The sequence below is a fragment of the Homo sapiens genome, chromosome 4 (assembly GCF_000001405.40).
Source record: "Homo sapiens chromosome 4, GRCh38.p14 Primary Assembly".
In the NCBI taxonomy this organism is placed as follows: domain Eukaryota; kingdom Metazoa; phylum Chordata; class Mammalia; order Primates; family Hominidae; genus Homo; species Homo sapiens.
This window is the reverse complement of record NC_000004.12, coordinates 105,919,998-105,937,140: the sequence shown is the minus strand read 5'-3', so window position 1 is coordinate 105,937,140 and position 17,143 is coordinate 105,919,998. Positions and strand designations below refer to the sequence as shown.

At 35.6% G+C, this 17,143-nt stretch overlaps 1 protein-coding gene across 18 annotated transcripts in view; it reads right to left on the bottom strand.

Moving 5' to 3' along the window:
• Positions 1-17,143, bottom strand: part of NPNT (nephronectin) — a 76,201-nt gene that overhangs the window by 34,531 nt on the left and 24,527 nt on the right. For 11 of the 18 annotated variants that reach the window (XM_011531824.3, XM_047449983.1, XM_011531825.3 and 8 more), the window contains 2 exons: positions 9,713-9,805; positions 13-132 (listed from right to left, as the gene is read on the bottom strand). In XM_011531824.3, the coding sequence (XP_011530126.1) occupies positions 13-132; positions 9,713-9,805 (213 nt within the window). Of the gene's footprint in view, positions 1-12; positions 133-4,437; positions 4,528-9,712; positions 9,806-17,143 lie in introns of all 18 variants that reach the window. The other 7 variants (XM_011531820.3, XM_017007984.2, XM_011531823.3 and 4 more) reach the window with 1 other exon arrangement.

Sequence of the window (17,143 nt, the reverse complement as noted above, 5' to 3'; positions counted from 1 at the left end):
TTCTTGACATACTTGAGCAGGAACCATCCGGCATGAGCATATATCCGTTGAGACAGTAGCACTTGTAGCTGCCGTAAGTGTTCATGCACCTGTGCTTACAGGGCCGGGGCTTCAGGCCACACTCATTTAGATCTGAAAACAATGTGGGTTGAAGCAGAAAAATTACAAAACCTCAGCACTAATGTAAGCCATCTAAAATTCTTTTCTATATTAAAAAATGAAAGAGAAAAATAGGTCAAGCTACAGTAACTGTCATTTACATAAGAGATAGATCCTGTTCATGCAATATTAATTTGAAGGTACGTTACACTAGGGGCAACCAGGAGTCGCCATGACCTTTATGGATCTCTGTTTATAAAGGCCAGTTAGGAAAATTCTCAACAACAGGTGCCTACCTTATCAACCCTAGAAACAGCAGCATACTAACGTCCTCATGGGCAGAGATGCTCTATCAGCTAACAACTGTTTGCCAATATTCTCAAAATATTTGGGTTCTATTGCTAGATCCAATCCTGACAATGTAACCCTATTCGTTCAATGTCTTCCTTTCTCTGTTTAAAGAACATATTACATGAGAATATTTTACTTTAAATGGATAAGGCATTGGCCTCCTTAAGGCTTGGACTTTGAGAATATTTTACTTTACAGGAAGTATACAGATTTTAAAACATTTGACTGCTTTGACCTTCCCAAAGGAAGGCTACATAGGCTATATTTTCAGAGGATAAGAACGAAATAAATTAAGAGTGATCAATATTGTAGTTTTTCTTGTTCAATCTGGTAGATTTTATATGATTTCAGATTAAAGAAGAAACTTCAGTTTCCTACTTTAGTAATGCATTCAAGTCACAAAATGAACTTTAAAAAACCTACCAACATATTTTCATTTATTCCGCAGTTAAAAAAGGCATATGGAAACACTAATGGACAAAATGTAATAGACTGTCATGTATTTCAGGTTTATTGGTTTAAGTATCAATATGAAATGAATCAACAAATTTTACATTATGAAAAGGTTTTAACCTAAATTAAACACTGCCTCAAGTGAACATAAAACTCATAATGACAAATAAACATTGAAATAGTAATGCCCAAAATATATGCTTCATTAAAAAGAAATGTGACCACATGTTTGTCTGGAACCACCAGCATAAGTACCCATTTAGCATAATTTAATTATCTATTAATCCATGTCATTGAATAAAAAATATAGATAATATGTCTAGTGACAAAATTGTTTTCAAATCTAATCTATTTCAATCTGATCTGCTCATTTATTAGAAATCTGTATATTTCATTTAACTAAATCACCAAGTTCCATTATGTTTTAAAACCACCAAATAATTATTACATCTAAAAAAATTTTCATATCTTACTGATTTTCCAAGTAGGTCTTTTATCTGCCCTGAATGCAACTGTAAGCAGACCCCGAGCTGGGCAAATCCCGGAAAGGTTAAATAAATAAACCAAATACTTTTGTCATCTCCTATGCGTTCTTCAATTTTCTACTTTATTGTCTCTTGACTAGTTAAGGGTTTTTAAAACAAAATCACATTTTAAATATTTCAAAAAAAATTTCCTCACAGAAAGCGCCATGCAGATTACAGTATCAAAAATGTTTTCTCCCTCTGTTAATTGAAGCAAAAATCAAGGAAGAATGACTGAGAAATTTTCTACCCTTCCCATATTCTTCTACTTTGTATTTCAGAATTTACTAAAAATGAGAGGGAAACTTTTCTCATCTTCTAAGAGGAGTTAATGACTGTTCCTAATATGGTCCTGCAGAGTCACACCTGTCTTTGATAAATCTTCTTGATATTATAGCAAATAGCATTTAAAACCAAATATGGTGTTAGAGAAAGGCTTTGTGTTTTAAGTATTTTTCTGCACTAAACAAAAACAGAACAAAACCACAACATAACACAGTAAAATCAAAACCTATATCTCGAGAAAAGGATACTGATGGATTTTTCTTTACATGTCAGTTAAGTATCCCTAGGTTTATTTTCAAAGCATAACAGAAACTTTTGTGAGTTCCTGATGGGAATGGATTCGGTGTTTACAGTTTCAGGCAGCTCATAAACAAGGAGTATTTATGCTGATGGAAATTTCTTCAGACACTATGTCCCTGAACTAAACCTGAAGCCCAGTTGGGGCAGCTCTTCTACAATTTGGCTCCAGTCTGGGCCAATAAAGGGCCCCTTAGGATTGCTATGGTAGTATTCATAATCTGGACTGGAGCTGCTGGTGGTTTTAGAGAATGGCTTCGACCGAAATTTATCCTTCCGTTCCCATGGCAAAAGCACTTTGGGGTTAAGAATCATGAAACTGAAAGGAAAGAAAAGCCAATGTGCTGTCATGAGTCCAAAAAAAAATCTGGACTGTATGAATATGTGAAAGGAAGAAAACATGCAACATTCAATGGGTAAATGTGGAAATGATGTACTGGCTATTTTACCTGTTATTAACGGGCATATAAGTATCCAAAACATGGAAAGCAATTGAGAAAGCTGTACTCTACCAGCTGCTGATGGTCTGGATGATATTCCCTGACAGCTGACTGGTGTTAATATCCCTAGTGACTGCCATCATTGTCCCATCTGCCACAGGCAGGTGTCTCCTAAAAACTTCACAATGACCCTTATGAAAGCCACTTCAGATACTATAAAATAGGATTCCATAGTCATCCATGTTTATCAAAATTTGCCAAATATCAGACTTTTCCTAAAGTACAGAGCTTCAAAAGATTAAATGCATCTGGCATCCTGGTGAGAAGCCTTTTTGTCCTCAGTTTTCTTAAGAGTTTCTTGTCTTCAATTATGTTACCTTCTTTTCTCATTGACCTAGTGCCATATTAAGTAAGTTAATATGTGCTGCTTTCTATAAATGCTGTGTTCATTATCACAATCTATTGGAGATCATTCAATTAAGCAATAAATTCAAAAATAAATTACTTCCAAATTATAGTAAATACTCCTACAATAATAAGCAGAACAAAATGAAGTCATTGATCATACTGTCTCAAATAAATCTTAAAAGTTGATAAAAGAACCTAGAAATAAAACTTTGGTGTTTTTATTTTAAATTTACTTATCTTCCTTTTTCTCTGGAGGTTTATAATATATATAAGGAAAATCTATAAAATAGGAAAATAAAAAATTTAATGAATTATTTCATGTGCTTATCTTATACTAAAGGATAGAACTTTACAATAAACCACTTACATTCAAATGCTTCAGTTATTATGTATACAAGTCTTAAAGTGCATCTACTATTGTCAGGAATACATTTCAGTAGGTTGGTGGATTCAGGAGCTTGGATGGGAGAAGGAGAGGGAGAAGGGAACTGGTCCAGAATGGAAATGCAAGCTGCACAGCATTATTATTAAACTTCAGGAAAAAAATCAGAAATTTTATTAGCATGCAGACACTGAAAAGTAGCTTGAAAAATCGGGAGATAACTAACTTACTGGATTTTTTAAAAATAAACTTTCATTTGTTTTAACACATTTAGACTTTCTCCCCGCTTTGGTGCTTAAATCGGGCAATGTCATAGGCAAACAGATGTCAATATGTCAACTACCAAAATTTTAATTTTTTAATTATTAAGGACCGAAATTAATTCTTTTGCCCTAATTCCTTGTGTAGAAAATATACAAATGCATCAAATTTCTTCTCAGCAGAGACAATGATTAATAATTTCAACTATTTTAATTCAGTTATTCTAAGTTCTTAAACCTATGAATGGGTTAGAGATAAAATGACCTAAAAGAGGAACTGTAAAATTATGCTACCACATTATTTTCCTACAAAGCTTTCCAGCATGACGAAGACATTAATATTTTTGGTGTTTCTATTCTCACGCCAACCCCACAGGCAAATAGGGCAGGAATTACTGTCTCCCTGTTACTGATTGGTTAATGACTTGCTTATAATCAAATAGCAACTAAGTGCTCTCTTGGAACCAGAACTTAGGCTATCTGATGTTACACAATGTATACCAAAAGAAGGTCACTAATGTATGCTTTGATTTTCAGATAACCTAAAACTCTATACCTCAAGAGTGGGGAAGAGGACTTGATTTCTAAAATCTCCTTGGCAAAAGGCATCAAACCCCCAATTTCAGTTGCTTTGGAACTCCTGAATTTGCCTACATATGAAAAAAGTTGTTTTGCTATCTGTTTTTAGAACATATTTCAAAATTCAGAAAAGAGAAAGAAAAGCAATGATACTCGATGCATTAAAAGGACAGTAGGGCTCCATGCTTTTCAGAGCACAGAGAATCAGCACCAGGTGGCAATTCCTGCTGCTTGCTCATGCTCAGGGCTGAAGGCTGGACACTCCTGGGCTAGTCTTCAGAACATTTGCAAGAAGTGACATAACTGCAGGAAGCCATGCAGGTGGGAAGAGCAGACCACCTGGGACAATGCACGCTCACCCCTTGAAGGCAAACTTGTGGCTTGGTGATCCAGGGGTTGGAAAAGAGGCTGTTCACTGCCTTGGTCAAGAGGAGCTGGGATGTGCTCGTCTTCACACCAGGAAGAAGGTAATAAGAGTCAACTTTGAACTGATGTCAATTTTAGCCCTAAAAATCTTTGCAAGTATATATTAAACAATTACATACAGTTGGTAGAGTTTAAAAAGAATGCATTAGATACTTTATAAACAATAGTTTCTGGTTCTTCTGGTTTCTCTTTTCCTTTAATTTTCTTAAAAATGTATCACTGTCATCTTGTTTCCCAAGGACAACACACACATTATAAATGAACAATCCATCGTCATACAATTTTTTAAAAAATTCCAAACAAGAGATCATCATTTTTAAAAGTATTATTTAGTCATACACAGAAGGAAGAAAACAAAAAACAAATTATACAAATATTGATTATAATCCACCTGCTCTATTTAAGGACACTGAAGTTGTAAACGACCAACTTAAGATTTTTTTCCCTACACTATCACGTTGTACAATAGTAGTTTAAAATACTCCAAAATTATGCACAAATGTATGATTTACATAAAGATTTTATTTAAATAACAGCATAATAGATCGTCAATATTATCATTTAAATGTAAGAAATTATGCTTCTGGAACATACATGAGAAGCTTTATGCAAAAAAATGTTAACTGTTGCCATTATTAGCTTACCAAAATATAAGATGGGTGAGACTCAAAGAAGAGAGTTGAGACTTAACAATCACGTTCTGTTTCAACACCATTATGTTATTAATAGCCAGTTAAATGTCCAAATCAAATGAACATTGGTTTTGGGAGTTGAAAGCATACAACTTCCTTTTTTTTTAGATGGAGTCTTGCTCTGTTGCCCAGGCTGGAGTGCAGCCGCTCGATCTTGGCTCACTGCAAGCTCCGCCTCCCACGTTCACACCATTCTCCTGCCACAGCCTCCCGAGTAGCTGGAACTACAGGCACCTGCCACCATGCCTGGCTAATTTTTTTTTTTTTTTTTTTTTTGTATTTTTAGTAGAGATGGGGTTTCACCGTGTTAGCCAGGATGGTCTCGATATCCTGACCTCGTGATCCGCCCGCCTCGGCCTTCCAAAGTGCTGGGATTACAGGGTAGAGCCACGGCGCCCGGCTGGAACCATACATCTTTCAAAACCTACGGCTGTAGGTAACCACCTTAATATTAGAGTTAAAGCCCTTAGATTTTTGTGCTTAGCAAAGCAGTCAACTTTCAGATGTAACTAGTCCACAAAATTAGTATCTGGTTCTGACCTAAAAGACTCCAATTCTTTCCTTATGATAAAGAATTCAACATATGAAACATAAACCATGCTAAAACATTAGGAATTGACATTTATAAATATTTTCTTCTGAAATTATTATAAAGTACACTGTAAATTCCTAAGAATGTCTTTCATTTCTGAGAATATGCAGTGATATATTTACATACTAAAAATCATTCCCCAATGGAAAAGTTATAAAAAGATTATTATCTATAATAATATTTTTTTTCTGGCTGGGGGAAAAAGAGGTTTGTGTTGGTACAGAAACTCAAGGAGGAGGGAAATATGCATAAATAAAAGTAAAAGTAAAGGAAGCAAATGATCAAAGAATCTTGCCAGAATTCAGGTTAGAATTTCATCTGCTTTGAAAGGTAACGTGTGCCTTGTAGAGTACAGTATGTTAATGATCAGCCCAAGCCTGTAATTTCCTAACAGTTCTAGGTGTAACAAATCCAGAAAATGACTTAGTGGGGAAGATCAAGCCACCAAAAGCAGATCACACTAAGCCTGTGGCAAGGCTACTAAATTAAACCAGTTCCAAAATGCAGCTTGCCCTGGTATTCTGGCTGTTTCCCAGGCAGCTCTAAAGGCACTGGTTAAGCACTTGTTTATTCAAGCTGTTTACACCATGATGCAAGTTTCTGGGGGTTATTTCTTAAAGTATATAACTCGCTACAAAATTCTCAGTGAATACTTGTCATATACCAAAAGCTACTTTTAATCAAAAGCTAATTTCCAGTTCTGTAAAGTTATTTCAAATTTAATTCTTTTTGACATTTCTCTCCTCCAGAAAAAAGGAGCCTGTTTGATTTCCCTTATCTGTGAAGCATATTTTCTACTTTATTAAAATGTGTGGGCCTGAATGAAAACAGTTTAAGTTAATCTGCTATGTAGGCACTATCAACAATTTTCTCTAACAACTTTTATGGAAGTCTCTAGGCAGCTCTCACACTCAACCAGGCCACACATGGCAGCTTCCCTGATCCTGACAGGGCCCTCAAGTCTATGGATGCAGAGACTCTCTAAGATGCTGTACCAAGAACTGGTGGAACCCTTTCAAGCTTCCACAGTGTTCAGGACTAAGAACCATTAGATGAAACTGTCATTTATTTAACATATTTAGTGTGCATTTACCATGTGCAAGTCACTTTAATAATAGTTTTCAGGAACTTAGAAATCAGAGAGACAACAAAAAGGATTTCTGCTCTCAAGGAGCATAAACCTTGCCATCAGGAACCTGCCACACTGCTTTTTTGTGAGGAGGGCAAAATAAGAGATGATTAAAACACCTAAGTTTATTTTAAGCTGTAGTTTTATTTTCAAAACTGGACTTGAAATTACATTTTCAGTGTCAGCACTATTTTTGCAGGTGTAAAATCCCATTTTGCTACTAATCAAATCCTCTTCTCTTTAAGGAATATGGTTTTGGGGAGCAAGATCTTAACTTGATACATTCGATTTTTTCTTTAGAGAAATAGGTATGTGTTACAGGAAAAAAAAGTACATGTTAAACTGGTTTTCTGAAAATAGGAGCTACCCAGTGATGAACTTTTGTTTCAATAATACTTTTAGCATGTCTTTAAAGCATGTTAAAGTTGATGCAGCTTCTGCAAAGAAATTTAAATGAATTTCTCTGCAATCTCAAAAGTGACTTATTTTAATCGTCTTCTTTATATTTTATATCCTCACATTTGGACAACAATATTTTACCGTGCTGATATATTAATGAAACCTCTGAGGGCTTATGTTCACCACTTTAAAAAAAGTATACTGAGATTCTAAGATGAACATTGGCATCCAATAACCAGAACACTGCTACCTGCAAACTTATGCTGGGGAAGAAAAATCAAGTGGAGTTTTTTAAGGAGCAAACTGAGATAATAAGAGCATCACTTATTTAAAAAGATTATGCAGGTATGTTTGGTAAATTTCAAGTTAAAAAGAGTATTAGAGAGAAAACAAGCATTGGGAAAATCAGTTCTAAATCAAATAGCAGATAATACAAGAACACACTTTAGAATAGCAGCTTCTACCATTGGGACATGTCATTTTTGCTAGTGTGGATTTCATCTGATGGTTCATGAATAATTTCATCTGATGGTTCATGAACCACCATTTTGAGTATGTTTTCAAAAATCAATGTTCTGGATGATTGTAAAAACGGTGTCTTAACACAGGAACAGAAAACTAAACACTGCATGTTTTCATTCATAAGTGGGAGTTGAACAATGAGAACACACGGACACAGGGAGGGGAACTGTTGGGGGTTAGGGGTAAGGGGAGGGAGAGCATTAGGACAAATACCTAATGCATGCAGGGCTTGAAACCTAGATGATGGTTTGATAGGTGCAGCAAATCACCAAGGCACATGTATACCTTTGTAACAAAGCTTCATGTTTTCCACATGTATCCCAGAACTTAAAGTAAAATTAAAAAAATAAAAATAAATAGTGAAAAAAAACTGTGTCTATAAATCATTAGTTTACATGACATACCTCAAGGAGTATCTTGGAATAAGTATCAGACACTGAAGAACAGTAGTATTTCAGCAATATCATTTCTATATCAGATGAGGTCAAGTAAGTATGTAAGGGATAGTTAGACACCATATGATTATTTCACCTGACATTTAAGATGATAGGGAGTATAATTTAAAAAATAAGTAAAAATTGACTTATCTTTTTTATTTTTGACACTTATCTATTTAGTGAAATCTAACCCTAATCTTTCTTTAGTTTAATTCCTAATAATGATTTTTTTTTCTTTTTTTTTTTTTTTTTGAGACAGAGTTTCGCTCTTGTTGCCTAGGCTGGAGTGCAATGGTGCAATCTTGGCTCACCGCAACATCCGCCTCCTGGGTTCAAGTGATTCTCCTGCCTCAGCTTCTTGAGTAGCTGGGATTACAAGCATGAGCCACCACACGCAGCTAATTTCGTATTTTTAGTAGAGATGGGGTTTCTCCATGTTGGTCAGGCTGGTCTTGAACTCCCAACCTCAGGTGATCCACTCGCCTCAGCTTCCCAAAGTGCTGGGATTACAGGTGTGAGCCACCACGCCAGGCCAATAATGGAAATTTTTAACTGAATTTAATTAACAAGACAAGCCTTGTCTGACTTTGTAGCATGAGTTCGAGGATCACATTTCCAAATATATTTTTTTATCCAAAACTAGTATAGTAGAAAAAATATGGATTATATATGCCATAGCTCTAAGTTGACATGCTAGCTCTTTTACTAACTCTGTGAACCTGAGCAAGACACTTAATATTCCTATGCCTCTGTCTCTCCAAATAAAAAATGGACTAATAATTAATAGATTATACCTTAATTATAATAAATAATGCTCTACTTCCTAATGTTGTTGTAAAGATAAAAATGGATTATATATATAAAATACCTGGGGCACTATGAGTGTTGAATAAATATTTGCTTTAAACAACTGATGCTGATTTTTTTAAAAAGTGCTTGCTAAATTAATCATTTTTATTTATCATGGAAACATTCCAAACTGGTCAGTAGTTGAAGGGAGATTTAATCACGAATCGAAGGGCTCAGAGTTAGGAGGAAACTCCAAATTTCAAATCAAATCCCCTACTTGACTTTGGCATTAAAGGGAAGCAGTACCTGGGGTCTGAGGTGGTTAATTATTTGGCCAAGGATTTCCAACTAGTTAGTGGAAAAACAAGGAGTACCAGAAGGCTTCTAAATTACTGATGCAGGGATTCTTTTCTTCAAAATACATTTTAATTAGTATCAGAGAATAAGAGGATACAATTTGTTTAATTGTCCTTTGATAAAAGAAATTTTACAATATTTATCATTAATATATTTTTATTTATCAGCAAAATGGCAGCTCACATATTTTGGAAAAATAGCCATGGAAAGTAGTTTGAGATAAGAATATTTTTAATTTGGGAGTGATAGAGGTGTCTTCGATTGTGTATTTATGTCAGACTGTTTTCCTACCTTGATTACAGGTTTTTCCAGCATAACCAGGATGACACTTGCACTTGTTTGGCCCGATACATTCACCATGTTTGCATCGTGGTTGGCACACAGCTGTGAAAAGAAGATGGCATGCATTATTTCTAGGTCAACGAAACACCAATCATATAGCATTGATGTCGTGCACTAGTTTAATAATAAAAGAAAAAAAACTAGAACTTACAACAAAGTAGCCAAAGTATACAAAATCAGTTTCCTATAAACACTCTGTAAGCTACACACACACACATGTGTTATGTATGTATATGTGTGTGTATCAGTTGGGGCTGAAAAAAATTTTAAATTCAAGGACAATACTCAAATAGACAAATAAAACTAGGTAAAACTATGCATAAGCATAACTGATATTTATTCATAGTTACAACTTTATAATGTCCTGCACCCAAAATTTCAAACTCATTCCCTCAAATATACTTCAAATAGCAGTTCTTAGTCCAAAAGTACTAAGTATGTATGAAATACAGATAAATTTCTAACTAAACATAAAATATTTATTTTACTAGAAATGGTATTCCTAAGTATGAAAGGATTCAAAATGAAACAAAAACCAAAACAACATTGTTTTGGAACTTCAATTCAAGGATATTTCTGTATCTTGATCTTTCTTAACCCTAAGATTCATTACAACTGCTTTTCAATCTATAATGGCCTTTCTATGCCCTAACATAGCAAATAGGACGTTCTCAGTTTGACATTCACTCTTTTCCATCAACTGAGTTCCACTTTCTCAAGACTTTAAAATTCTGTAAATCATCACTCAAATATTTTCACTGTTTAATTGGAATTTATTCCGTTTATTCTCTATCAGTGATTCTCAACTGGGGGGCACTTTTTACCCCTGTGGAAATTTGGAAATGTCTGGAGACATTTTTGGTTGTCACACTAGGGAGAGGATACTACTGGTATCTAGTGGATAGGCGCCAAGGATGCTGCTAAACATCCTAAAATGTTCAGACAACCCGCCACAACAAATTATCCAGCCCAAAATGTCATCGTGCCAGACTCGGAAACCTTGTTCTGTACCAAATATGTGCATGTCCCTATGCCAGACACTATAATAGATGAAAAATAATTGTATAGCATGGTACTGGTCTCAAGGAGTCTACAATTGAGATAAAAATACAAAACCACGTTTCTTATTCAAAACAATATTTATTTATCAGCAATATGAAATCTGTGAAGAAATCATTACACAAGCAAATCCATATACATACGTGCAGAAAGCCTCATAGAGGAGGCTTATGTTGAATCTTGAAGCATGAGTAGACAGAGAAGGGAGCAGACTACCCAAGAGAAGAATATTTCACAGGCAAGTAAGCCGCTGTTTAGTTGGGAGATACACAGGGGACTCATTAAGCTAAAGAGATGGGTAAATGGTGGAGGAAGAGTGAGAAACAATCAGGTGAGTGGTATCAGATGATTATGTTCCCTACATTTCAGAATGAGAAACATGCACTTTAGCTCTAGGAAATGGGAAGTTTCCATACATTTATCATCATAACTGCCTGATAAAAATCAAAGCTCTGGGAATCTTATCAAAGCTCTGGTGATGGTATGTAGGATGGACTGGAAAGAGTTTAGAGGCAGAGAGAACAGTTGCAAGGCCAGCGAAATAGTTTAGGTCTGACGTGAAGAAGGTATGATTTGTGTTGGTGACAGGAAGAAATGAGCTTCAATAATCATTGAGTGAAGAGCAGACAGTCCTTGAAGACCAAGGGGAATGGACTCAACAATGATCCCGAATTTTGAAGCTCCTGACACCTGTTCCTACCCATTTTAACCCATGCTGTTCTCCATTCTGGGATATGCTCTATGCTCCCAGTTTCCTCTCTGATAATTATCAAACATTGTTTCCTTTAAGACTCTAATACTCCTGCGAAACTGATGTGCATGTTATTTTTTTTTCTACCTTTCCTCCCCCAACTGTCACTAACCCTTCCCTCACCTTCCATTCCACAGGGCCTCTTTGCTAATTTTACTTCCAGGCCTTCCTTGCCTGTTTGTCATCCCAACTGGACCCTGTACCACCACAAATCCTTAGGCAGTGCTCTGTAGGAGGTATTTAATGTAAAAGACTACAGAAAGAAAACACAAGCAGAGTGTAAATGATAGGGAAATGCCCTTGGAAAATTCTTAAAATCTGATTTTAAACATGGCATTAAATTCAAAGGGAAACAATTGTGTTCATATCCATGAAATGAAATAAACTGTCCAGGAGGGCCTTCTAATATTACTCTTTAGCCAACTGTACACTAGGCGGATGGTTTATATGCAGTTTAAAATAAGTTCCAGAAGTAAGCCACTCTACATAATTTCTAGGCCCTATCACCAAGAAATACCAGCTTAAAAAAATTCTTTTTAATCTAAAAAGATGACCTTCCATAAATCTTAACATTTATATATGCATGCAACCTGGATAACCATGTATCACTGAGGCACACAGAATGCCATATTGAAAAAAATGTAAACATCTCAAAATCGTTAAGTGCAAGTCCAGGAAATAACCCCTTAAAATAATTGGAATTTGGAAAACTCTCTCAAAGCATGAAAAAGTAGTTTTAAAAATACCACTTAAAAACATAAAAAATTTATTTAGGACACTTTATAAAACAATTAAACTTGAGGCCCCCAGGCTGTAGCCTTTGGACCCCCTGACCAGCTTGAGAACCATCAATTTATAGTACTTTCAGGTGCTTTATAGGACCAAAGTTTTTATTGTTTCCTCTCCCTTTTTTGTTATTTGTTCTCAAGCAGAGTGCCCTAATCTTGAGCACATCAAATGCACACATTCCAACAGGCCAACACTGTTAATGTTTCTTCCATGTTTAGGGAGTCCTATTTCAAAACAAACTGTTGTTTGCACTCCCATCTGATAGGCTATTCAGTGAAGTAACCAGGAACCCTTAGATTAGCCAATGGCTATTAAATGCGGTAGGATACTCATAAAGTTGATACAATCAATTTCTTTCTTCTTAGAAAAAGAAAACCCTTTGGAAACTGTTGCACAAAAAGATATTCTCCTATATAGCACAAAGTTATCTTGCTGGCATTAGTTCTGGAATGGAATTCAATAAATACGTATCAAACATTTGTTATATATATAATGTATTATAGTAGGCAAGTGTGGCAGGGGATTAGAGAGTCATAGAGGGTATGAAAATTTAGCTGTGGAACTAAAATATATTGGCTAAACCACAACAAGGGCTGTGATAGAGAGATGAAAGAACCAAGGAGGGTGTGTAATAACTACAACTGCAGGTTGGTGTGTTAGAGGCAGTGTGTTAGAGGTAAGAGCAGTGGAATAGGAAACAAAAGACTTTCAGAATATAAGCAAAGTGGTGGGGGGGGGGCGCAGCAAAGGGGACTGCTTCTTAGTGAGTGCAAAGTGTTCTCGTGGGGCTACAGTGTAAAGTGCTTAAAACAGCAGATGAGATCAAAAGAAAGGCTGACACAGATCACAAAAGGCCAGCTGGATTCTTACCAATATCTCTTTCCCTTCTGCTTTAATATAGAATGGCTTTTAAAATTTTTATTTTTTTGAGTGGGGGATGGGTTAGTAATGGAAAACTATGTTCCCTATTCTCCTTAGCAGATATGGGCAGCCAAATGACTAAGTTCTGGCTAAATGGGATGAAAGCAGAAGTGATGGGGTGGGGCTTTGGAATGCTGTGTAAGAAGGGGGCTGAAGAGCACGGCTTGTTCTGTGTTCTCGCCTAGAACGTGCATGTCATGACTCAACCACAGTGGCCTCTTTATGACCATGAGGCGATCTTGAGAATGGAAAGAGGGTAGAGCAAGAAGTCATAATATTAACCCTAAATCACCATCCTAGCAATTTAGGGCACTGTTCTTTGTGTCACGTTACTTGTAGCTAAATACAATTCCTGAATTTCCTTGATCACTAGACTGTGGAATCTGGACTTAGTCTGTGTTTATTATCAAGACAGCAAAGGTTTCCTTTTGATACAAATTTAGGATAGAAGAGTTATGAGTAGATCCTAGTACAGAAATAAAACTCATCAAATTTATTTTATACCTACAATACCATATACTCAGGGGAATGTAAAAAAAAAACTTTATTTCTACATCTAAATAACTAGATTAGAAAGTGCATAACCATTTCAAAACTAGAGAAAAATAATTCCCAACCTCTGTATAAACTGGCTCACCTTCCAATAACACACTCCACTGTAATGTGAGCTCTCAGAGGTCAGCAAAAACCAACCTTTTCAGCAAACTGCATTACTCTGTGAATAGTAGGTCATCCCTTCCTTATCAAAAAAATAAAAAAGTATAAATGATCCATTTTCAGTGGTCTTCAAAAATATTAAAATTCTTGTTTGGAGTAAACAACGTGCCTGCTGGTGCTACTGGCTATCAGAAAAGGCAGCATTGCTTCTCTGACCTTCGTGTGGATCAGAACAAGAAGTTTGGGCCGTATTTGATGGTCTGCTATCACTAGCATCCAAATATGGTTTAGCAACTTAATAAAGCTTAAGTAAAGTCCAGGTAAAAATCACAGATAATCAACGAATGATAGACATTTTACCCCAAAATCAGTTGCCAGAATTAAGTCCAAATGGGCAATCACTCTCAAAATTTGCTCTCTAGCATTCCTGTAGCATAATCTTCAAAGTGCCCTCAAAATAACCTCTAAATCATTGTTTTAACTAGAAAAAGAAACAAGTTTCAACTGGCAAAACAAACATAGCTCTTTAATGTCACATGTCCAAGCCTCTTCTGTTTGATTGCAATCTAAAATTTTAGTCTTAAAAATCCATCCTAGGAGTTTGTGACCAGCCTGGCCAACATGGTAAAACCCTATCTCTACAAAAAAACTAGCCAGGTGTGGTGGTGGGCACCTGTAATCCCAGCTACTTGGGAGGCTGAGGCAGAATCATTTCAACCTGGGAGGCAGAGGTTGCAGTGAGCTGAGACTGCGCCACTGCACTCCAGCTTGGGCGACAGAGTGAGACTTGATCTCAAAAAAAAAAAAAAAATATCCATCTTAAGTGATGTAACTGGGTCTCTGAGAGTTGGACAATAGTTTCTAACTCTAACATAAGCAGTGAATTATCAAATAAGTTATGAGAAAAGTAAACTCCCACATCAGTCCTATAATGTTTCTTATGTAAGGTAATCATGCTGGGAGTAAAGTGCCAACATTTGAAAACTAAGGATATGTTGAGATACCCAAGCAGATGGAGGCTCTGAAAAGTAATAAGGCAAAAGCCAATCCAATCTCAATGGTAGTTAGTAACTTGAGAAGGATTTTCTCAATAGAAATAAGATTATCTTTAGAATTCCAAGAATCATTTGTAATTTTTTCAATCTACATCATGTTATTATGCAGACATGGCACCACTAAAAGCAGAACAAAAAACCTTGTCCTCCAGGTTATGCTCACAGAAGAAAAGGGGACAGAGAAACATGCAAGGGTAGGGCAGAAGAACAAATAGATATGAAACTGGAAGACTTTGAAAAGCTGTTTTTACACCCAACAAGCTTCACAGAATTCAGATATGGACAAATTCATTTGAGCAGAACAAGAAAATATGACAGGGAATGACTTTTTCAAATGGTAATTGGCCTTGGAAAAGGGAAAGTCACTGAAGGCAATATGAAACAACTCACTACTATATTAATAGGACCTGGGTGGAATGGAGGGAGATTGTACAGTGGTCCTCTGAAAAGTGCCCTGAGCCATTGCATATCATGAGCAGAACAAAACCTAGAAGAATCCTACTGTCCAAGATCTCCAGGGGAAAGCATCTTTCCAGCTTTCCTAATACCCTGTACTATAGTGTCAATTATCTGATGGTCAAATCTAAACTCCTGCTGCAGTAAAAACTGAATAATAATGCCTCTGATTGTTATCACTATAAGACACATTAAATGCCCTCATGAATACAGAACTCAAAACCATTTCATATGACTGACTGAATTTATCCTCATGATATCCATATAAGGCAGGAGAGAGGCAGACACTATCTTCATTTTACAAGTAAACAAGTAAAAATGCAAAAGATTAAGTGACTTGACCAATTTCAGGAAAAATGTCTTATCCCAGTTCCATGCTCAATCCACTACTTCTTCTGGTGGTCAGAAAAAGACCAGAAAGTCCAGCATTTTTGAGTGCATTTGGAAGTGGGGAGAGTGAGATTATAACAAAATACTAAGCAGGAAAGGATGAGAGGGGTAGAGAATGTTAATAATGATTAAAAACATAAAAGTATTTAAGTAACATTTAAATAACTTAAATACTTCTTAAAAGGAGCGAAAAGTTGCAGTTAAGACCACAATCTATAACTTAAGAAAACTAAAGTAGCTCTGCCAGAATATTTGAAAAGAAAATAATTTCATTACCCTGTTGCTTGTTTTATGTAGATGCTGGATTCTGAACCATTGATGCAGCATATTATTATTACCTCTGTTGAAGTATTGCTATAATTTTTGTTGTTGTTTGCTTTGGGCTTCACATTTTATTTAACATTATTGCAATTAAGAACTTAACCACAAACCATAGTCAAATACGAATGTCAATTACTCAATGGTAATTTAGAACATAGAGTTAAAATAAATAACGTGTCTAGTCTTTATAATGTTGTCTCCCAAGAGCTGTCAATAACTCATTTTATTTTTGTGTCTGGGAACATCCAATTCAGACACATTTACCAAGTATCTATTTGATCTCTCGCTATTTAAATTTTAATTCCTGAAGTGTCCCCCGCCAAAATAAGTGGCTGCATCTGTATATGTGCATCTCAAGTTAGCTTTTATTTGTCATAATTAAGCACTATCCCTTTTCACTTAAAAAAAAATCCTCTGAGCACTATTGTTGTTTTCAGTTTACTTGAAATTTTAACTTTCTCTTTCTGTTTTCATTGTGCTAGAGGGGAATTTAGATTAATGCCAAATAAAACGTTAAGAACACATTAAAAAGTGTTACTATTTATTTGGAAATGTGAAGTTTTTTTTTTTTTTTTTTTTTTTTAGTAGAGTAACAGTAGCAATGCCCACAGCTAGCACCTGGATCTTTGTTTCTAAATATTTCATTCCCTAATTTGTTTTCTAAAGAAAATAAATAATAAAAGGAATGAGGGCTAGGGGAGGGAGGCTAGAATAAGTTTTCTGTTGCAAAAAGCAATTAAGCACTCAAAGAATGGTAGAGACATGTGAAAAGAATAGAAGCTGGCTTGGAGGAGTTCCACTGACTAGATTTGGGATTGTTTGAGCATCAAGAAGAATAACGGTAGTTATTGATAACAATTGAATAAAAAAAGAATCTATGGTTACGAAGTGATTCTAAATAGGAAGAAGACTGAGCTCCTCTTTAAAGAACAATGCCTACTAACATGTAGAAGGAACGGCGAAATTTGAAAAACAGAACTT